Source organism: Homo sapiens, chromosome 1, assembly GCF_000001405.40.
Source record: "Homo sapiens chromosome 1, GRCh38.p14 Primary Assembly".
NCBI lineage: Eukaryota > Metazoa > Chordata > Mammalia > Primates > Hominidae > Homo > Homo sapiens.
Genome location: NC_000001.11, coordinates 40,837,795 through 40,860,561, shown reverse-complemented (window position 1 = coordinate 40,860,561; position 22,767 = coordinate 40,837,795). Strand labels below are relative to the sequence as shown.

Sequence of the window (22,767 nt, the reverse complement as noted above, 5' to 3'; positions counted from 1 at the left end):
TTCCAGGCCCTGTGTCAACCTGGTGCATGTTCTCATGGAATCACAGCCCAGGTGGGAGGAGGTGGGTGATAGGCCTGAAAACAAACTAATCTTGCTGCAAGGAAGACTGTGATGAGTTCTAGAAAACAGTGCTAAGCAGCACTTTGGGAGGCCGAGACGGGCAGATCACGAGGTCAACAGATCGAGACCATCCTGGCTAATATGGTGAAACCCCGTCTCTACTAAAAATATAAAAATTAGCTGGGCATGGTGGTGCGCGCCTATAGTCCCAGCTACTCGGGAGGCTGAGGCAGGAGAATCGCTTGAACCCAGGAGGCAGAAGTTGCAGTGAGCCGAGATCATGCCACTGCACTCCAGCCTGGCAACAGAGCGAGACTCCTCAAGAAAAAAGAAAATAGTTCTGGGGGGGATTGTACAGCCAGGACAATAGACCGGCCAAGCGGGCACACCCAGAGAAGGGAGCAGTTTCAGCTATTAATAGTTGAGGTTGGGGTCAGTTCAGGCTTCAGGGAAGCGGTGACATTTGACGTGATGAACAGAGCCTTGAGTGATGAATATGTTTTTAGGAGAGGAGCCTGTTTCAAGGCAGGAAGGCACACAAGTACGATGAATGTTTGGGGAAGGTGTGGGGTGTCTAGAAGGTACAAGAAAGGTCGAATGGCTTTACGACAACTTCGTGAGGCAAGCACAGTCCTCATTCTACACATGAGGGTTGTGGAGTGTGCCCAGGCCTGGCAGGATTTGGCCTCAGAGTCCTGAGCACCAGCGTGAGTTCCTGGCCACCCTCTGCAGTTCACTCTGGAAAAATCCCTAGGTGCTTCTGAGATGTGGGAGAAAAGCTGGGAAAGAGATTGAAGTCAGGGAGGAGGCCGGGTCAGAGACGCTGCGGTGGTGGGGCATTCTCTAGGAGAGCATGGATTCCAGGGACACTGGAGGGGAACACCAGGCTGAGACCTTCTGTCCCCAGCAGCTGGGCTTGACTCTCAAGCCAGGCTTTTTTGTGGATGTGACCCTCCACCAACCTGTGAGTTCTCCCAGGACCTACTGTGCTCTGAAGCTACCAGGATGGAATGTGGCTGGTGACAGGAGGTGTTTGGCAAATGAATAAAGGTCTCCCTAAGATCATGGGATTTCTGGGACAGGATGAAGAGAGAAAGGAAGAGAGCCTTCTGGGAAGGGACTGGCCTGAGCTCTGGGCTCAGAGGGGCTGGCATTTGCCCACCCCACCGCCCCGCTGCTTTGCCCAGAACCCCAGGCCAGAGACAGAAACCACAGGGCTGAATTAGTACAGGAGGGTTTGACCCTGAGCTGAACACTTCCCTGATTCTCTTCTCTCTCCCCTCAGTTTCCACACCAGTAAAATGGGGCTAATATCCCTGCCCTGCTACATTACAAAGCAATAACCCTCACAATTAGTAAGGAACAAATTCAGAGATGGGTTGATAAGCAGTTGGCAAACTCTGAAGTGCTCTCCATATGGAAGGGATTACAACGAAAACCCCAACACCTGCCTCTTTCCAGAGTTAAGGGGGAAGCGGAGGAGAGAGTCCAGCTGCTGAGCTCTTCCCTCCTGCATCCCTCCAAAAGGGACTGCTGACAAGTTGGACAGCAGACAGATGGACAGGGGAGAAGATGAGGCTGGGGCATCCCACAGCCTGGATCCCCAAATCCCTGATACTGTTTGGAGGCTTCTGACCCTACCATCCCCTACCAGGGGAAGAGAGAGTACGTGTAGAGACAGTGAGGAGAGCAATGGGCTTGTCGTCTGACAGCCTCAGGGTCCAGTTCAGAAGCAACTCTTACTAGCTGCCTGACCTCAAGGAAGCCACCACACCTCCCGCATCTTGGCTCTCCTAAGATAATCACACGAGCTTCCGTGGTGCCAACAGGGTGTCGCTCATGTCTCCCCCAGGGCTGCCTCCTAAAGCAACCTGTTGCCAAAGGGTGCTGTGGATTTCTCTCTTATACCTAGGCTGGATCTTGGGGGTCAGAAATCAGGCTTCCTCAGGGTTGAGAACTGAGTCATGACACAAGTCATTTTCCCATCCTTTTGTTGTTGTTGTTTTGTTTTGTTTTCCTATTCATATGAAAGTTTCCAGGCTGATGTTCTTTATTTTGAATTATCTTTTGGTTGACTGGATTTTATCAACAAGCTGTCATTTGTGTGTGTGGTTTTTTTTCCTTCAAGAAAAGTATAATTTCCCTTGAACTCATCTCTACAATGGGAATGCTAATAGTACCACCCTGCAGAACTGCTGTGGAGATTAAACAAGTTAGTGCAGGTAAAGTATTGAGAGCAGTGTGGTTTGTAGTAAGTGCTGTTATCCCTGATAACAGCACTTTTTGGAGATGCCTTTGTATTAGAATATTAGAAAGGCTGTGTTTTAACCAGCTAGAAAGGGGTTACTCCAACAAGCAACACTGTTACAGGTGGGGTTCCCTGGGAAGCAGACTCTGAGATGACATTCAGCTAGCAAGAGGTGTATTAGGGAGTGCCTTCAGGATCAGCAGCTGCAGAAGGGAGGGGACAGAAGGAGCTAAGAAGCTACAAAGCAGGCCCAGCAGGAGCCTCAGCCAGCCCCGCTGGGAGCTCTGGAGCTAGAAGGGCCCTTCAGAGTTGGCCTGAGTTGGACCATTTTAATCCTTTATACTCCTGCCTCCATCAGTCACTGGATGTGAGCCACCCAGAGAAGTGGTGTGACTGTGGGCAAGGCAGCTGTCCCCAGCTAAGCTCATCCCTGGAGGAGCTGCCAGGGTACGGCTGTCTACCAACAGCAGCACTCCTGGGGGCTAGAGCAATGATTCCTTTTCTTCTCTTTTCTTTTGTTCTTTTTTTTTTTTTTTTTTTTGAGACAGAGTCTCACTCTGTCGCCCAGGCTGGAGTGCAGTGGCGCGATCTCTGCTTACTGCAACCTCTGCCTTCCGGGTTCAAGTGATTCTCTTGCCTCAGCCTCCTGCATAGCTGGGGTTACAGGTATGTGCCACCGGACCCAGCTAACTTTTGTATTTTTAGTAGAGATGGGGTTTCACCATGTTGTCCAGTCTGGTCTCCAACTTCTGGCCTCAAGTGATCTGCCTGCCTTGGCCTCCCAACGTGCTGGGATTACAGGATGCACCACCGTGCCCAGACTAGGGCAATGATTTCATAGAAGGGGGCTCTGGGCGGCACATCACAGTGTTCACCACAAGCACTGGGGTGGGGACTCTGGTTCCCAACAGCAAGGGACTCTTTAAATTTATGCCCTGGGTATCTCTTTTGCCTCACCTTAGTCTCAGACCTGACCAGCACCTTCCCCATTACAGAACAAAAACAACAAAATGTAAATGTATCAACCTTACAGGTTTGATGTGATGAGACTCTATACAAAATACCCCACACATGGTAGATTCTCAATAACTGAGCGCTGCCATCACTATCATAATTGTCATTGTCATCATCATCGTCATTGTCATCATCATTATCATCATCGTCATTGTCATCATCATCGTCATCACTCCAGGTCAGATAAGTGTTCAACAGTCATTTATCGAATAAATTAATGATCAGTCTGATCCTAGCCTTTTCCCAGGCAGCTTAAGTGGTTTAGCTGATTACTAAGTAATCCTCTTGAATTCCTTAATCCATCGTGGCCTAACTCTTCATGCCACCCTGTTGTTAGAAGTGCTGGGACAAGATTAGTGCCAACTATAAGACCAAATAAGTGCTTACTGAGTGGCTGCTGCGTGCAGGCATGGTGGGAACTGACGGGGAGTGCCCAGTGGCACTCTTTCTTTTCCAGTCTCTCTTTAATCACCGCCCAACCCTGTAAATAGCACTGCTAGGTAGTTTATCCCCATTCCAGAGGTCAGAAAACTGGGGCACTCAGAGAATTACTCCAAGTCACACCTCAGTAAGAGGTGAGGTGAGCATGTCCACCCCACCATATCCAGGGCCTGTCCCCTTCCCAGGCTGGATCTGGCCAAGGACCTGAGCCTGGGTGGGATAAGAGCAGAGTCCCAGAGCTGATCTGCCACTCTGAGGCTGTGAATTGCAGAGGAAGTTACTGGGCCTCCTTAGGCTTTGATTCCTTCTTCCATCCAATGGAGAGAATAATTCCAACATCTGAAGAATGTGTGTGCAAAGATTCACATGAGGCTGGGTTTCTGAGAGCACACTGCAAGCAGTGCAGTGCTGCCTGGCCAAAGTGGGTTTGTGGCTGAACAACCATGGCCCTTATCCTGTAGCTGGTCTGGGAAGAGGACACCTGCATATACTTTGGGGCTTGAGATCTGGCCAGCCTGGAGCATGCAACGTAGAGTCTCATGTTGAGGGCTCTAAGGAGGCACTGCTGAGCAGCTCAGCGTCTGGACGGCCCTGAGGGCTGGTGCTGATAAAAGAGTGGGATGTGGGTCAGCTTGGGGAGGACACACAGGTTGGGGGACTGGGCATGAGTAAAGGCCCAGGGCCCAAAGTGTGCCCTGATGGATAGAAGAAATAAAGGAAGCTACTCTGAGTGCAGTCCCCTCGTCTGTCAAATAGAGACACGATAAGCTTCTTGTGAGAATGAACCAAGGTGATGTTAAGTGCCTGACCCGTGAGCTGCTCAGGTGGAGCTGTGGCTGGGAAATATGACCACAGGGACGAGAAGGACAGAGCCCTGCCCCACCCAGCCTCCAAGTGCCTTCCCACCCTCAACTCCAGCCACCCCAGGCTCCTCATGCACGATGTTCCTCGTGCCGCCAAGCCTCTGTTCCTTTGCCTGTGCCATTTCCTCAGCCTGAAATGCCCTCCATAGGGCCTTTTCCACATCCAAAGGCCTATTACCTTGTGTGTCAGAGTCGCTGAGGGGTCTTTCTCCACCAGACTGTAAGGCTCACCATCGCCCCCTGTGTGGCTCAGAGGGCATTAGGAAGTGCTGGGCCAGGCATGGTGGCTCACACCTAGAATACCAGCACTTTGGGAGGCCGAGGCAGGAGGATCACTTGAGTCCAGGAAAATTTTAATACATTTTAAACTTAAAATTTCATTTTTTATTTATGAGGTGTAGTTAACTCTAAGGTTGGCAAAACAAATTTTCAAAATAATTTTTTAAAAATAAAAATAGTCTGGGCGTGGTGGCTCATGCCTATAATCCCAGCACTTTGGGAGGTCGAGGCAGGTGGACCATTTGAGGTCAGGAGTTCGAGACCAGCCTGGCCAACGTGGTGAAACCCCATCTTTACTAAAAATACAAAATTAACTGGGTGTGGTGGTGGGTGCCGGTAATCCCAGCTACTTGGGAGGCTGAGGCAGGAGAATCACTTGAACCCAGGAGGCAAAGGTTGCAGTGAGCTGAGATTGCACCATTGCACTCAAGCCTGGGCAACAAGAGCGAAACTCTGTCTTAAAATAATAAAAATAAATAAATAATAAAATAAAATAAAATATTATAATCCTATTTATATAAAAAAGAGATGTGTATTATGTATATGTATGTAACGTATGTGTAGTATAATGGAATCGTGTGTGTTTGAAAAGTCTTGTGTGGGGGTGGTCTGACTTTTTACTCTGTGCTTTCTACATTGTTTGAAAATTATTTTGTCTTAAGCGTATATTTATTTTGACCAAAAACATGTGTTTGTTTGAAACAAAACGATTGGCTCACACCCTTTCTTGGGCTAGGGCAGTCTGCTGTCTGATGTGCCCGTTTTATGGCAAAGCCCTAAGCCTGAGCTCCTCTGTGGGAAGAGGCATACAAATGAGCCCCGCTGGAGACCACCCTCTAATGGGCTGTGGAGGACTCCCTGCTCCATCCCTGGCCACACTTCTGCTTCACGGAGATACCTGGACTTGATGTTCGTGGATATCTACCCTCCGTGACTCTACAAATGAGAACAATCCCCAGACAGGTGCGGTGGCTCACACCTGTAATCCCAGAACTTTGGGAGGCTGAGGTGGATGGATTACTTGAGGTTAGGAGTTCGTGACCAGCCTGGCCAGCGTGGTGAAACCCCGTCTCTACTAAAAATATAAAAATTAGCCAGGCATGGTGGCGGGCGCCTGTAATCCCAGCTACTCGGGAGGCTGAGGCAGTAGAATCGCTTGAACCCAGAAGGCAGAGGTTGCAGTGAGCCGCGATTGCGCCATTGCACTCCAGACTGGGCAACAAGAGCGAAACTCTGTATCAAAAAAAAAAAAAAAAACAACGCCTTAGAATCTTGAGTGTCACACAGACTTCAATGGGTCCTGCGCTCAGCTCCCTATTTTAGTGGGGGGCGGGGGCGGGGGGGCGGGGTGCCATGTTGCCCAGACTGGTTTCGAACTCCTGGGCTCAAGTGATCTGCTCGCCTCAGCCTCCCAAAGTGCTAGGATTACAGGCAGGAGCCACTGCGCCCAGCCAAGCTTCTGGATTTAAACGAAGGACAGGGGTGGTCCGGCTCTCCTCAGAGACGTCTGTGGAGTGGTGCTTCTGCCCCTAATGAGACAGCAACACAGACAGACGAGCAGCAGGGCCTGAGAGACTTGGCGTCAGACCTGGGCTTGTCTCTCAGGCCCTGCTGCTAGCTTGAGTCTTTCAGGCCCTTCTGGGTTTGAATCTGGCTCCAAACTACATACATGACATTTGGCAAAGCCACTTTACCACTGTTAGCCTCTGTTTTTGTTTCTAAACTAAAATATGTTCCAATACTTACACACTCAACAGATGGGATTAAACGAGCTATTGGCTGATGTACTTAGCACGGTGCCTGGCATGCAGTAAGTTCCCAATAGCAATAGCTATTTCCAACTTGGCACAGCAGTGCTGAGTCAGCAATAGCTGTGAGTATGTCCAGAGAAGGGGTCCAGGGTGGGCAGGGAGGACTTCAAACCATGTCCCACGCAAATGGCTGAAGGACGGGGCTCTTCAGCCAGCGGAGAAAGACCCAAGGGCAGAAGTAGGCGTCTGCTATTTATGCCTTCCAGGATTTAGTCACCCTTCTCCTGATAAAAGGTTTCCCAAAAATTCCTTTGGGAAACCACCTCTCCCTCGTTTATAGCCCACGTAGCTTGGGTAAGTTTTCTTGTTCCCCTGTATGTGATTCAAAATAAAATACTGCTTAGCTGTAAAATCAGTGTAAGGAAGCCCCAAATCTTTCCATGGCTATTTTGCAATAGCAATACTTTATCTTCTTCTCCTCCTCGTCCTCCCCTTTTTCTTCTTCGCATCAAAGTCTTTCAAATTTGCAGCTAGTACCTTAAACACATGAGCTGTCTGCTTGTTAGGTCATTCAGTACTGACTCATGATATCTCACCTGACTCGCTGTCATCTAAGCTAGCGCATTATTATTCCAGGTTATAGAGAGATGAGGGAACTGTGGCTTACAGAGACGAAATGACTTGCCTGCTTCCACACAGCTAGTAATTTATTGAGTTAAAATATTTAACATAATTGGGATGGTGCCTCGCACATAGTAAGAAATATTTAAGTGTTAGCTGCTACAACAAAGAGAACAAGAAAAGTGGATTTCATTTTGTTTTGTTTGAGACAGAGCCTCACTCTGGAGTGCAGTGGCACAATCACAGCTCACTGCAGCCTTGAATTCCTTGGGCTCAAGCAATCCTCCTGTTCCCAAGTAGCTGGGACTACAGGCGCACGCCACGCCATCCAGCTAATTTTTTAATTTTTGTAAAGATGGAGTCTCACTATGTTACCCAGCCCGATCTCAAACTCTTGGGCTCAAATGATCCCCCTGCCTGGGCCTCCCAAAGTGCTGGGATTACAGGCATGAGCCACCGTACCTGGCCCAGAAAGATGTTAAAGTGGCTTGCAGAGCAGAAAAGACTTCTTTCTGATTCCACTCCGTCATTCAGACCCAGATTGCTTGCTTCCTGTTGCTCTGCTTTTCATGACTCCAACCTCGTGGGCCAAGATGTCTCCTCAAAGTCCAAGTTGGCTTTCTTTCCTTTTCTATCTTTTTCTGCAGAGCGGAATCTGGGTCATGGACATCTTTGTGTCTGGCTCTCAGGAAGGTGAGACTGAGGAGGTGAGCACACCTGGTGTTCTAAGGCCCAGTGACTCATGTCACTTTTCAGATTTTCTTGACAAGAATTTAATTACATGAGCACACTTTGCAGTAAGGAAGGCTGGGAAATACGGTTTCTAGCTGGCGACAATGTGTTCATCAGTAACTTAATTACTCTGGAAGAGGGGAAATGGATTTTGGTAGACAACCAGCAGCCTCCACCACAGCCAAGTGACAGTAATAAGTGGCTCAGTTGAGATTAGAACTCAAGTCTCCTATGCCCCAGAGTACTTGGTACAGATGGGGAAGATATCAGAGGCCTGAGTCCTACATAAAGAGAATTGTTGCCTGGGCACAGTGGCTCACGCCTGTAATCCCAGCACTTTGGGAGGCCGAGGAAGGCAGATCACCTAAGGTCAGGAGTTCGAGGCCAGCCTGGCCAACATGGTGAAACCCTGTCTCTACTAGAAATACAAAAATTAGCCGGAATGGTGGCACGTAGTCCCAGTTACTCGGGAGGCTGAGGCTCGAGAATCACTTGAACCCGGGAGGCAGAGGTTGCAGTGAGCCGAGATCGCACCACTGCACTCCAACCTGGGTGACACAGCGAGACTCTGTCTCAAAGAAAAAAAAAAAGAACTGTTTAGATTTAGTAGACCTGGTAGCAGTCATCACTATGAATACTCATCTGTGGCAACTCACTTCCCTTCTTTGAGTCTCAGTTTCCTTGTCTGTAAAATGAGGATAGTAAGGGGCCTTACCCATGAGTTGCTGCTGTGAAAACACTGACCACAGTTCATAACACATACTAGGTACTTACACAGTGGGAAGGATGGGGTAGAATTTGAACATGAGCACGTGAAAGAAGGAAATTCCAAGGGAGGTGACAATGTGTGCAAATGCCGAGTGACATGAATGAATAAGACTTTACTAGGAAAGGCAACAAGTCCGGGGTGGTTAGTGTGTAGGGTGCATGGTCAGCGGGGGAAGGGTTGTGCTCGGAGTAGGCAAGGGTCAAAGAGGGGTGACCCTTAGTGGCAGGCTGAGGAGCTTGAACTTGATTCTGTTAGTAATGGGGAGTCACAGACGACATGAGCCGAGTGGAAACAGTTGGGTTTGTGTTTTGGAAAGGTCACTCTGGCTGTGGTGAGTAGAATGGATTTGAGAGGGGCAGGTGGGAGAAATGGAGAGCGCTGAGAAAGCATGAAATGCAATGTCTAGCATACATGAATATTCTTTTGAAGAATGAATGACTCTATCTCGATTACTTAGGATTATGCACGTGGCTTTGAGTGACAGAAAAACAGTAGCTTAAATAAAAAGAACCAGGTAGGTAGTCCAGAATGGGTGTAGTTATCCATAGTGTCAGCATCTAGGCCCCACCACCTTGTTGCTTTGTCATTTGTGGGTTAGACCTCATGATCCAAAAAGGCTGCTCGAGCTACCATATCAACATTCCAGCCAGAAAAAAAGAGAAAAGAGGAGTCGTGAACTTTCTGGAAGTTTTCTGCCCCTAACTACAAAAGAGGCTCAGAAATGTAGTCTTTATTCTGGGTGGCCATATGTGTAAGCAGAATTCAGAGGTTCTGCTACTGGGAAGAAGATGGGAATGGATCCTGCAGTCACGATAATGACCCACTGATGTGGAGGCTACAGGAAAGGAGTGGAAAATGATTCCCAGGGGTGTGGCTTGGGGCACAGAGTGACTCTTCCATGAGGTGAATCCTAGCAGGAAGAGCAGGCTGTAGGGAGCAGGATAGATTAGGATGGACACATCAGGCCATCCAAGGTGGACATCTAGGAGGAAGAGGGCCAGATAAATGGGTCTGGAGCTCAGGAATTAGGTCTGGACTGACAGTAACTTTGTTTGGGGGGGTATTAGCACATCCATTGTTGCCTTGGGAATGATGATGCCCAGTGATAAAAGAATGTGGCCAAGGACAGAACCTTGGATAGAGGCCGAGAATTAGCAGCTGGGGAAGTGGGAGAGAAACAGCAGAAAGGTGTCCTGAAAGCCCAGGGAGATGTTTCCCAAAGGAGGGCGTGGTCAGGGGTTCCTAATGCTGCTGAAAAGTCAGGTAAAGTGAGGACTAAAAAGAGGCTGTTCAATTGGGCAATCAGAAAGTCAAAATGACTTTGCCAGAGCAATTCCAGGGGAGTGGAGAGGCAGGAGACAGGATGCCATGGTCAGTGGGAAATGGGAAAAGAGGAAGTCAGGTCAACAAAGGTAGATGAATTGTTTAAAGGATCTTTTTGGACCTCAGTGTTTCCATGGGTCAAGTGACCCATGTCTGGGGCTTCTTTGCTGCGCTTTTTAGTGGACTTAAAAGCATTGAAAAGGCCTCTACAGTTGGGTTCGGCCTGGACGGCGCCTGCTTGAGATGGGATGCAACACCCATCTTTTCTCGGCAGGTGGCAGCACCACACCAAGTGACACCACCTGGACACCTCGACCAACACGAAATCCACATTGCACATCAGTGCATTTTCAGAGAAATGAAGCTTAGATCCCCAAACACCAAAGCGTTGGGTGGTGGTTGTTGCTGTTGTTGTCATTTTGGATGGAAGCCTTGAGTAGAGAAAACTGAATGGAACTTTCTGTTCAAGTCCTGGCTCTGTCACTTACTGGCTGTGCAACCTTCAGCAAGCCCTCTCACACATGCAAGCCTGCTTCCTGGTTGGCAAATCGGGCATGAGAACAAACCCAAAACCACCTCATGGTGTCACAGTGAGTCTGTAACAAAGTGCGCTTGTGTCGGATGTTCCTGTGGACAGACTCAGGGCTGGGGTGGGCAAGCGGGGATGGGCTCAGAAGCAGAGGGAAGGGACCAGACCCGCACAGCCATGGGGAGGGGGTGCCTGTGGTCTTTACAAAGGCTGCACACAACAGTACTGCTGGAGTCAGGAAAGTTGGGTTCGGATTTTGCAGGTGAGGGAACCAAGGCTCCCATATGACTCTCCACAGTCATACCCCTCAAACAGGCAAAGCAGAGGCACCAAAACCAAACTTCAGAAGAAGAATTTGATGCATAATATTTTTGAAAAAAAAAAAAAGGCTCAGAATTGCAGCATGGGAAAAATCTGAACTTCGTGGAACTTCTTTCCCATTGTTGTGTGGTTTCGTATTGTTTGCTGCCCTTCACTCCCCTGGTCCCTGTTTAATGCCCACGTTCTGAGAGCACCCCTGTATCTGCTCCTTCCCCCTAAGATGACATGGGGGAGGTTAAGGATGTGAGGGGAGGAGAGGAGGAAGCCATCCAGCCATCTGGAGGTCGAGAGACTCGGGCTCAGCTCTGGGCTCTGCCTTGGCTTACTAGGCCTCAGTTTTCCCAGCTGCAAAATGAGGCTATGGGACCAGTGGTCCCTTGGGAGCCTTGGCAGCTCTGACTTTTTATGAAGGCTTTGGATTCCCCTTGAGCTTCCCTGACCATCTCTCTGAAAGACGCCCCCTGCAACACAGTCACTATTCCATTTCCATTTTATTTTCTTCACGGCACTTATCACCCCATGAAATTATCGTGTTTTTTTTGTTTGTTTTCTGTCTAGACAGTAATCTACTATCTACTCTATGTGAGCAGGGACTTTGTGAGTGAGCTGCTAGGACCTTGGCACCTAAAATAGTGCTTGGCATGTACTAGAAATGAACAAACAATTGTAGAATAAGTGAATGAAGGGCAGAGAACACAGCCCCTTACTCTCTGAGACAAGTCCTGGAGTCCCCTTCTGTCAACTGCTCAGTTCTACCACCCCTATTTCTCTCTCTCTCTTTCAGATGTGCTGAACCTAACTAAAGCACCTTCAGGTGAGGTGTCCTGCCCTCAAAGTCCAGTCTGTTTTCCTGGCTCCAGACAACTCCAAGCCAAGGTCTTTACTGACGCCTTGTGGCCGTGGGGACACACAACAGGGACTGGGTGTATTCTCACTGGGAGATGATCAATCCCAGGTGGCTCTGCTTCCCTCCCTTCCAGCCAGCATATACGAATCACCTGTGTGCCCAGCCTTGCTTTGGGGAGAGTGATGACCCCAGCAGATGCATATCTTTTCTTTTTTAGAGACAGGGTCTCACTCTGTCACCTAGGCTGGAGTGCAGTGGCGCGATCATAGCTCACTACAACCTTGAACTCCTGGTATCAAGTGATTCACCCTCCTTGGCCTCCCAAAGTGTTGAGGTTTAAAGGTGTGGGCCACCGTGAACTGGCCACAGATGTGTTTCTTGTCCTCCAGGAGCTGAAGTCACACCAGGGGAAGGAGCAAGATTGTGGGGTCCAGGAGAGGATTTAGGGGAAGTCTGGCAGGGGCGAGTGGGAAGTAAGGGCAGACCCCATCCGAGTTCTGGGCAGGCGGGGCAGCTTGGGTCTCAGGCCTCAGATCCTTCTGCCAGGGTATCTGTTTGACAGCAGTCTTCCCACCTCTTCCAGGAAATCCTTCACATCTCCCACTCATTTTAGAGCCTGTTTGGGAAAAAAAGAAAGAGAAGAGGATATGCCTCATGCCCAGAGAAGCCATTTGGGACAAAAACAAAGATGTTGAAGGAGGATTTTTAAAATCCTCTGTGATGTATAATGTAAGTCTTCTATGACATTGCTTCCAGTAAAATCCACCTTACTAGCTGTCTTAACCAGGTCTTGCCGTGATAATGCCATGAAGAAAACAAACCCCCAATCTCAGTGTCCTACAAAATCAATGATTATTTCACACTCCTAAGTCTCCAAGTCAACTGCAGTTCAGCTGATGCTGGCTGGGCCAGGCTGGACTCTTGAATTCAGTCTAGGTCAGGTCTGCTCCACATGCCTGCATCCGGACCCAGGATGAAGAAACAACGGCTATCCGAGGCTCTCGAGGTGGAAGAACTTTGCCATGACTGTATGGCTTCCGCTTGAAAAAAAGCATACTGTCCTTCCTACCTGCCTTCGATTGGCCAAAATAAATCCCATGGCCAAGCCCAAAGTCAGGGGGTTGGTAGAGTGGATGCTATGGGGTTCCACCCAGATCCACCCTTCAGAGCCTGCTGGGAATCTTCTGCTGGCTCACAACTGTGTCACTCATTGGGAATTGCCCTTGGCCACAGGGAACTGCCTCACCCACAGTCATGGCCATGATTGGCTAATGATTGGCTGATGGTTTCCTTTGAAGGAAAACAAAGGCCTGCCTTCTTCCTTCAGTTTAGCACAACTCTTCGGGGATAGATGAGCTCTAGGGCTCCTGAGGATCAGCAGCTACCTCAGTTGCTATCGCATAGTAGATCAACCTCTCCTTCTGTCTAATCCTACCTCCTACCTTCCTTATAGATGAATCTCCTGAGCACACTCCCCTAAAAACCTTCTGCACACCACTCTCTGTCTCGGAATTGGTTTCCAGGAAACCTGCTGTAAGACAGATAGGCAAGTACACACCATGCAAGGGTAACCATGGCAATGGCAAGGAAGGAAGGAAGACTTTCAGACAAAGAATACAATCGACTACAATAGTTACATAAAGGATACATCACAGAGACAGATCTATTTTGCCTGCAGCAAAATGCTAGGCACATGCTCAATGTGTATGTAAGGGGAGAATTGAGGCCACCTCTGGGAGGTTCCCATTTTTTATTGCACTGATTATATTTTGTATATTAGGATTCCAAATAGGTTATGCTGTAGCAAAGGTTCCTGGGCCTTCAAAAAAGGGTTTTCAAATCACTTGGTTCCATGATGTCTATAGCTCTGTTCAGCTCTGCCAGTTGGGATGGGGCAAACCCGAGTGATTCTCAGATCCTGTGCATTTACAGCAGAAAATGCGTCAGGTTGGTGGGTGAAATCCCTGTTGCAGGTGTCATTGGCTGAATTGCATCCCTCCAAAATTCATATGCTGAAGTTCTAACCCTCAGTTCCTCAAAATGTGACTGCATTTGGAGATAGGGCCTTTAAAGAGGTAATCAAGTTAAAATGGGTTTTTTAGGGTGAGCTCTAATCCAATATTACTGGTATCCTTATAAGAAGAGGCGATAAATACATCAACAAGCAAAAACCAACCCCATTAAAAAGTGAGCAAAGGATAGGAACAGACAATTCTCAAAAGAAGATATACAAGTGGCCAAAAAACATGAAAAAATGTTCAGCATCAATCATCACTAATCATCAGAGAAATGCAAACGTAAACTACAATGAGATATCATCTCACACTAGTCAGAATGGCTATTATTAAAAAGTCAAAAAATAACAGATGTTGGCGGGGTTACAGAGGAAAGGGAATGATTATACATTCTTGGTGAGAATGTAAATTAGTTAAGCAATTTGGAGAGTTCTCAGAGAACTAAATATAAAACTACCATTCCACTCAGCAATCTCATGACTAGATATATACCCAAAGGAAAATAAATCATTCTACCAAAAAAACACATGCAACTGTATGTTCATTGTAGCACTCTTCACAATAGCAAAGACATGGAATCAACCTAGGTATCCATCAATGGTGGACTGGATAAAGAAAATGTGGTGCGTATATACCATGGAATACTATGCAGCCATAAAAAGAAGGAAATCATGTCCTTTGCAGCAACTTGAGCAGCTGGAGGTTATTATCCTAAGCAAACTAATGCAGAAACAGAAAGCCAAATACTGCATGTTCTCACTTATAAATGGGAACTAAACATTAGTTACACATGGACATAAAGATGGCAACAATTGACACTGCAGACCACAAGAAGGGAGAGGGAGGGAGGGGATCAAGGGTTGAAAAATGACCTGTTGGGTACTGTGCTCCCTACCTGGGTGATAGGTTCTGTCGTATCCCAAACCTCAGCATCATGCACATCATGCAATATACCTTAGTAACAAACCAGCACATGTGTCCCCAAACCTAAAATAAAACTTGAAAAAAGAAAAGAAAAAGAAAACTAGGAACACAAAGAAGAAGAGGAGGAGGAGGAGGAGGAAGAGGAAGAGGAGATTATTAGGACACAGAGAGAGACCTCAGACCTGTGTACATAGAGAACAAGAGATAATCATGCAAAGATACCAGAAGAAGGCAGCCTCTACAATCATAGGAGAGAGGCCTCAGAATGAAACCAACCCTGCTGATAACTTGGTCTTGAATTTCCAGCCTCCAGAACTTTGACTGTGTGATCATGCACTTCTGTTGTTTAGACCTTCCAGTCCATGATATTTGCTATGCCATCCCACACAGACCAACACACCGTGGTAGCAGCTATCACGGTCCTGCTATACACAGAGGTGGGTGGTAGGGGAAGATGTGCCTCTCAGCTTCTCAGAGGGAAAACGAAACTGTTTTAACAATTGGAGCTGTCAAAAGTACGTGAAATATGGCCCAGTGCAGTGGCCACTGCACTCTGCACTCTCAAAAAAACAAAAGTACATGAAATAAATTATCTAAATAGAGAAATAACTGCATGGGTTTTTTTAGATCTACAAGAGTGTAAACATCGCAACGTATTCAGAGCACCCATCAAAGTGAGCTGAGCCCCTTGGTACAGCTTCTGAGCCTGGGCCTCCAGAGGCCTGATGGCTTCTGCTTTTGCCCTCTTGCCATATGAAGAAGTACAGTCTAATCTACTGGAGGATGAGAAGCTCCATAGAACAGAGATGAGCCGTCTTGCCTGCAGACCAACTCACACCAGATTGCAGACACGTGGGGAAGGCCCTCTTGGGCCATCTAGACCCTGTTGATGCCAGATGATTGCAAGCACATTAGTGACCCCAGGTGAGACCAGCAGAGCTGTTCAGCTGAGTTCACCCCAAATTGCTGACCCACAGAATCAAGAGTAAATAAAATAAAATAGTTGTTATTTTAAGCCATTAAGGTTTTTTGTTGGTGGTTTTTTGTTTGTTTGTTTGTTTGTTTTGGAGACAGAATCTTGCTCTGTTGCCCAGGCTGGAGTGCAGTGGCATGATCTTGGCTCACTGCAACCTCCACCTCCCGGGTACAAGCAATTCTCTGCCTCAGCCTCCTGAGTGACTGGGACTACAGGCGCACGCCACCATACCAGGCTAATTTTTGTAATTTTTAGGAGATGGGGGTCTCATCATGTTGGCCAGGCTGGTCTTGAACTCCTGGCCTCAAGTGATCCACCCACCTCGGCCTCCCAAAGTGCTGGGATTACAGGCATGAGCCACCACATCTGTCCTAAACCATTAAGTTTTAAAATAAGTTGTTACAAAGCAATAGATAAATGACACACCAAGCTAAAATTGTATCTGCTGTCAAGGCCGTATTTGATGACAGTTTGGGGACTCCCAGAGCCACCTGCAAACTCTCCTTGCTGAGCCAGGCAAATTTAGAAGATAAACAGTAGCTGTGCATTGGTTAATTGTGCATCTGTCTCCCCCAGGGGCTGGATGACCTCAGGGCTGTAACTTGTTCTCCCGTGTCTGTTCATCCTGTATATTGTGCTGAGGCAGGGTCTGGCATATAGCGGGTGCTCAATAGACATTTAACTCAATTAGTGAAATGTCATGGGACTTGTTCGGGTTACCAGCACCTCCTGCTCGGGTGACTGCAGCAGTCTCCTACCTGCTCTCCCCACACCCACACTTACTCCCTCAAATACATCTTCCATCCCAGGAAAAAAAAAAAATTCTAAAATGCAAATCTACCCCAGTGTGCTGCCTGAGAAAAATCTTTTATTGTCTCCCCACTGCTATCATGGCTAAGTCCTATCTCTTTGGAATGATTAATGAAATCCTGTAAACTTTGACCCCTAATTCTAAAGTCCCATCTTGCACCCCTCTCTCCGTTGCTGTCTGGGACCAGCCACGGGATTTCTTTCTGTTCCTTTCATCTACCACACTCACTGGTGCCTCTGGACCCTATCACATACTGTGCCTTTTCCTGGAACATCACCACCACTGCCACCACCCCAGTTCCCAGGCCTGGCTCCATCCTACCTGTCCTTCAGTACATTTGGTTGTCCATTTTGTCTGATTGAGAGATGACAAGAAGTATGGATCTACACTGATTTATGGGCAGTGGCTAATGGTTTGGCTGGATGGTCAGGGGTTCAGAAAGCACAGAACTGGAGGACTGGCCATAAGAAAAACTGGGAGAGACTAGTAGATGGACTTTCAGAAATGACACAGAATATGAAGATATTTGTATTCCAAGTAAAATCTCACCCAAAGTCATCCATGGCAGAGGCAGCTCTTGATAATTCGATGGACAAGATGGCACATTGGATGGATGTCAGCCAGCCTCTCTCCCTAGTCTCTCCAGCGCATTCTCCATATGTTTATGTACAATGTGGTCATGGTGGCCAGAATGGAGACTATTTACAGGTTCAACAACATGAACGTAACTCGTCAAGGCTGATCTGACTAATGCCACACTGTATGTCCAACCTGCCTCCAGCCAAGACAAATGCTAAGTACTTAGTATATCATCCCTCTGCAAGGGTCCACCTAGCCACTTGGTGCCAGGTCGATCCCACTGGACCCTTTCCATCATGAAGCAGGTATGTTTATCCTCATTGACATAGCCAGGATATAAGGTTCCAGGAATCCAAGGGAGCTGGTGAGAGTGGCTTCTCTCACTATGACACCAAATAATCCGCCGTATTAGTTTCCTGTGGTTACCATAACAAATTACTGTAAAATTGGTTGCTTAAAACAACAGAAATTTATTCTCTCACAGTTCTGGAGGCCAGAAGTTCAACATCAGTTTCACTGAGCCCAAATCAAGGTGTGTGCAGGGCTGTGCTCCCTTCAGAGCTCTAGGCAAGAATCCATTCCTGGACTTTTCCAGTTTCTTGTGGCTGCTGGCATTCCTTGGCTTGTGGCAGCATCACCCCAGTCCCTGTTTTTATGTTCATATCACCTTCTCCTCTTCTGTGTGACTTGATCTCCCTCTGCCACTCTCTTAAAAAGACATTTGTCACTGGATTTAGGCCCATCAGACAGTCTCGGATAATCTCCCCATATCATGATCCGTAATTTAATCACATCTGCAAAGGCCCCTTTTCCTTATAATGTAACATTTGCAGGTCCCAGAAATTAGAACTTGCTATATTTGAATGGCTATTATTCAGCCTACTCCACCCACTCACAAAACTTCTGCCTCTGGTCCCTGTAGCATTGAGCTCTGCTAGTTTGGAGGTCTTAGTTTTCAAGGGAAGGGAGGCAACATAGTTTTCATTACGTTGGAGGTTTAAACTTTAACCAGGCCATTGTGGGCTCCTCATGCCACTCAACCAGCAGGAAAAATAAAGAGTTAATACACTGGCTGCATGACTGATCTTCATTACCGAGCGGAAATTGGTTGCTGCCACACAACAGGGCAAGGAGGACTAAGTCTGGAACCCAAGGGATTCTCTAAGGCCTTTCTATAATAAGTACTTCCATGTATGATAGCAAAAGTCAATGAAAAGCTGTGACACCCACCCATGCAGGACCGCTGAGGATTCAGACCCTTCAGGAATGATTATCTGGGTCACTCCACCATATAAAGATCCCTGGCCAGGCACGGTGGCTCACGCCTGTAATCCCAGCACTTTGGGAGGACAAGGCAGGTGGATCACGAGATCAGGAGATCAAGACCATCCTGGCCAACATGGTGAAACCCCATCTCTACTAAAAATACAAAAATTAGCTGGGTGTGGTGGCACATGCCTGTAGTCCCAGCTACTTGGGAGGCTAAGGCAGGAGAATCGCTTGAACCCAGGAGGTGGAAGTTGCAGTGAGCTGAGATCGCACCGCTACATTCCAGCCTGGCAACCAAGCGAGACTCTGTCTCAAAAAAAAAAAAAAAAAAAGGTCCCTAAAAAGCTGAGGTGTTGGCTGAGGGCAAAGGAAACATGGAAGGGCAATGGAATAAGGAAATTATTCATACCAACCATGGCACTGTGACCAGAGATACCAGAAAGAGGTCGATTGCGGCTATGCGTACTTCCTTCCTTGCTTGGGATGTGTGTGCATGTGTGTGTGTGCACTGTACATATTATTTTTTCCTCCCTCCTCCTTTCTCCCATATTTTATATAAACATTGTATGTGATGATCAACTTTACTTTAGTGTTTAGTTGTAGGTGGAATTGTGCCTGAATTAGAGGAATACTTAACCCAAATATGGATTCAGTGACTAACCCCTGGAGATGGATGCATCTGTTGAACCGTGGGACGTTGTGTTTTTCCCATTTAGGGGGAGGGGACTAGAGTGTCTTCATTTGTATAAAGGACAGTTTCATCTTACTAGGTGGAAGCTACTGTCGTTATATGGCGGTTCAAGTATGTATGGATTGATGTTTGTGGAAACTGTGTGTCCAAAGGGGTGGCCCGTGCCCATGTTATTGTCTTTCAGTTCCAAGTGCAGCCTTCTAACTCTGTGATACTGGGGCTGGGACTCTGCAAACCACATCACTCCTTTGTTCGCTAGCTTTGACAATAAGGGGTACTAGGGGAAGACTGGAAGGCAAGAAAAGTGGAGACTTCTCTCTTCCTTTGCTTCCTATCCTTATCAGCAACAGCCAGGTTGCAACAGTTGATCCCAGACTTCGGCTTTTTTCCCATACTCCCAGACAAGCCTCATTGTGTCCCCTAAGAGGTACTAGCACCAGCCAGGGAGTACCTCCTTTTCAGATCTCTGAGCCCCAACACTACCGGGCTCCCTCTCCGCAAGCTTGTGGGTTCTGATAACCCCAACCTGTTTCCTATACTCTTGCAGCTCTGGGAGTGGTAACTGCTTTCTGCAGTTATTTTCTCTAGGCTATCTCAGAATCACCTAGAGAAAATTCTCTTTTGTTCTTTCAGCCCTCCTGCATCAGTGTAACCCATTACCTATAATAAATTCTTTTGCTGAAAAACTTAGTGTTGTTTCTGCCTTCCTGACTTGATCTTGACTGATGCAAACTATTAGGAAAGTGGTGGCCAATTTTACTGGTCACCATGAGAGGTCAGCCTGCCAGAAAGGAAGGCTTACAGGAAACAAGAGTCCTGACACGTTTAAGCATCTAGATCTCACTGTGCATGAAACCAAATCTATCCCCTGGACTTCTCAGTTCTCTGTGCCAATAAGTTTCTTTTTGTTTGTCTGTTTAAACCATACAGGGTTGGGTTTTTGTTGTATACAACAAAGAGTCCCGACCAATCCAAATCTCCTTGTCCCCACCCCCAAACCAGGAGCCTCACCTCACAGCCACTGAACAAAACCAAGAACAATCACCTCCTCTTGAAAACTTTAATGAAACCAATAAGTTAATAAGTTAACAAAGTGAGGTACTTGCATATCCGAGAACCGAGTTGATGGCGGAACCTCGATCGTGGAAGGAAGGAGGGCTTCTTCCCATGTCTCCTTGGTCATAGGGTAATCCCATTCTCCTGGCCCTCTCCACAGCTGTCTCTGAGTGGGTGGAGGGGTGGCTCTCTGGGGACAGTGCAGTGCAGGTGGGGTGAGCCAGGAGTGGCTCCATCCAGGGCATGACGGTCACATGCAGAGGGCATGTTGGGGCAGAGGCTGGGCACCATGGACTGAGTAAGATCCAGTCCAAGCCCTGGTGCTGGCGCATGCAGGTCCCCAGCACGAGATGCAGGCAGCGTGGCCTCGGCCCCTTGTTCCCACAGAGGGTTGCCATTGGTCCACTACCCCTCACCTTCCTGCCACCTGCATTGGCTTTGCAGAAGAGGAGCAAAGGGGTGGGGATAAGAAAGTGTTCCTGGAGTGAATGGGGGCTGACGCCTGGATGTGGCGCTGCCAATTGAAGTGAAGAAGTGGGGTGTGGAGGGAGGGGAGACAGTGCATGTGAAAGCCGGATGCGCGGTTGGTATAGCTATTACATGCATTCTTATTCTCTCTGGGAGTTAGAGTGACTAGGAAGGCACAGGCCTGGCTAGAAGTGGGCCTGGGGTCTCTCCAGTGGTGTCAGGCCTGGGCCCGAGTTGTGCTGTGGAGACACGGAGGCGGGCCCTTGGGGACAGGCAGAGGCAGTGGGTTAGGGCTCCTGGACCAGAGAGGAGGAGATCTTCTTGAAGAAGGGGAGCGGGTAAAGGTCTGGGTGGGGCCTGGAGAGCTCTCGGGTTACTTCAAAGCTCCTTCTCCTGCTCAGATGGAGTTGGGGGTCTTCCTCTTAGTGGTCGTCACCCTGCAAGGCCAGTCCACTGGCATCTGCTGCAGAGGCCCAGGAGCGGCTGAGTGGCTCTGCACTCATGTCTCCAAGTGTGTCACGTCATTGCATGTTTAAGTGTGAGAGGCTTTCTTCCTGTCTGGAGAAACTAAAAGGCTATGTTTGTGCGATCGTCCACGAAGCACTGTCTGGGAGTTTTGGGGAGGATACAGAAACCTGTGCTGACTATGAGTGGTGTCTGGAGGGCCAAGGAGGGGAGTGGCCACCCAGCAGGAGGAGGGAGCCCCTGGGAGCTGACACTTGCAAATGGGAAGAAAGGCCCAGGCATTGCCCTTAGGAGAGGGCAGGGGAGAAACAGGCCCCATGCTGGGAGGGGAAGGAGTGATAAGCCAAAGAATAGGGACAGGGTGGTGGCCAAGCAGCCTGAGACCAGCTACTGCTGGGGGCCCAGCTCCCAATGGGGGAGGGACAGAGAGACCCCATGGGGGTCCCCAAAGTTGCATATTTAACATGGTTTGCATATATGGTGTCCACCTGCCTTGTGGCAGGGTCCTGTGCTTTGTGGGTACCTGTGGGGGCACCTTGGCCCACCCCCAAGTGGGGCGGGGACTTGGCGGGAGGGCTTCCCTGCTGTGTCCGAAGGGTGGGCCAGAGACCTCACCTTGCATAGCTGGAAGCTGGGTCAGGGCCCAGGGCCCCAGCGCCCGCTCCCACTCCCGGGGCTGTGCCCCTGCCAGGTGGGCCACATAGGGCCTTGATGGAGTGGGCAGGGCACTGGGGGGCCCAGAGGCCGCGGGACGGCCGCTGCTGCTGCCCTCTGTGCGACCTGGCATCTCACGCTCCTGAGGTGGGGAAGGGGCGCTGGCACCCACAGCAGGTACCACGCCCACTCAGGCAGCTCAATACTGCGTGTGGTCTCTCTCCCCGTGAGGGAGTGAGTTCAAGTACGAGAGGAGTCCGGAGGCCTCAGAGGGCAGTCGGAGCGCCAGGCCGCGGGGCTGGCCGTGTGCTGCCCTGCCTCTGAGAAGTCCCTCAGTCCATGTTGGTGCTGACCGAGCGGGAGATGCTGAGCGTCTGTGCGGAGACGGAGATGTCCTCGTGGTCCACAGGGCTGTGGTAGTCGGAGGTGATGTCGGGGTCGAACAGCGGCACTTGCACGGCGCCCAGGCTGGCCGAGGTGCCAGAGCGCAGGCAGCGCGAATAGAAGCCCAACAGCAGGTCCAGCTTGTGCTCGATGGACTGCACCTGGGGACGGGGCGCAGCTGGGAAGCAGGGCCTGGGACCGGAGGGGACGCGGCCGGGGGCGGGGCTTGGGTCTCGGGGCGGACCCTAGCCGGTGGAGTGGGCGGGGCTTATCTGGGAAGCACAAATCCCGCCTGGAAAGGTGGAGCTTGGCTAGAGCGAGGGGCGAAGCTGGGCACTGGTGCATAACCCGGGGGGTGGTTAGGTGTGACCGATGGGGATAGTCCGCGAGCTACAGCGACAACTGAGAGGCGGGGTCAAATGGAGTAGGGGGAACTGAGGTAGGCTTATCTGAAGGTTATGGGCGGGCTTATGCAGCCTGGGGGCGGGGCTTAGCAGGAGAGGGCGGGTTTATGGGAATGTCTGGCGGCGAGGGCGGGGGCTTCGGCCGGGGAGGGGGCTCTTAGGTCTTCTCGGGGACCCTTGGGCTGTGGCTGTGGGAAACGCATCCTCCCCATGTCACCGCGGCCCCCAGAGCTTCTTGGTATGGCCAGCTCCGCCACCCCATCCTACACTCAC

The 22,767-nt window shown here is 49.1% G+C and overlaps 1 protein-coding gene and 1 long non-coding RNA gene across 4 annotated transcripts in view, besides 2 other annotated features; one reads left to right on the top strand and one right to left on the bottom strand.

Moving 5' to 3' along the window:
- Nucleotides 1–3,067: 3,067 nt before the first annotated feature.
- On the top strand, nucleotides 3,068–12,465 carry LOC105378676 (uncharacterized). Its single transcript, XR_947239.2, has 3 exons — nucleotides 3,068–3,500; nucleotides 11,736–11,765; nucleotides 12,382–12,465. It is a non-coding gene; the product is annotated as an uncharacterized LOC105378676 (long non-coding RNA).
- Nucleotides 8,474–8,563: an enhancer, noted in NCBI's record as "active region_856". NCBI's record gives its function as "activates an Ori minimal core promoter by ATAC-STARR-seq in GM12878 lymphoblastoid cells {active_cell/tissue: GM12878}" and the evidence as "EXISTENCE:reporter gene assay evidence [ECO:0000049][PMID:35858748]".
- The window catches only part of KCNQ4 (potassium voltage-gated channel subfamily Q member 4), a 56,666-nt gene continuing 54,008 nt past the window's right edge, over nucleotides 20,110–22,767 (bottom strand). For all 3 annotated transcript variants that reach the window (NM_004700.4, NM_172163.3, XM_017002792.2), the window contains one exon: nucleotides 20,110–22,251. In NM_004700.4, the coding sequence (NP_004691.2) occupies nucleotides 22,039–22,251 (213 nt within the window). In that variant the 3' untranslated portion in view covers nucleotides 20,110–22,038. The remainder of the gene's footprint in view (nucleotides 22,252–22,767) is intronic.
- Nucleotides 20,277–20,885: an enhancer, noted in NCBI's record as "H3K4me1 hESC enhancer chr1:41305349-41305957 (GRCh37/hg19 assembly coordinates)". NCBI's record gives its function as "activates a minimal SCP1, AML or CMV promoter by ChIP-STARR-seq in naive H9 embryonic stem cells {active_cell/tissue: H9 hESC(naive)}" and the evidence as "EXISTENCE:reporter gene assay evidence [ECO:0000049][PMID:30033119]".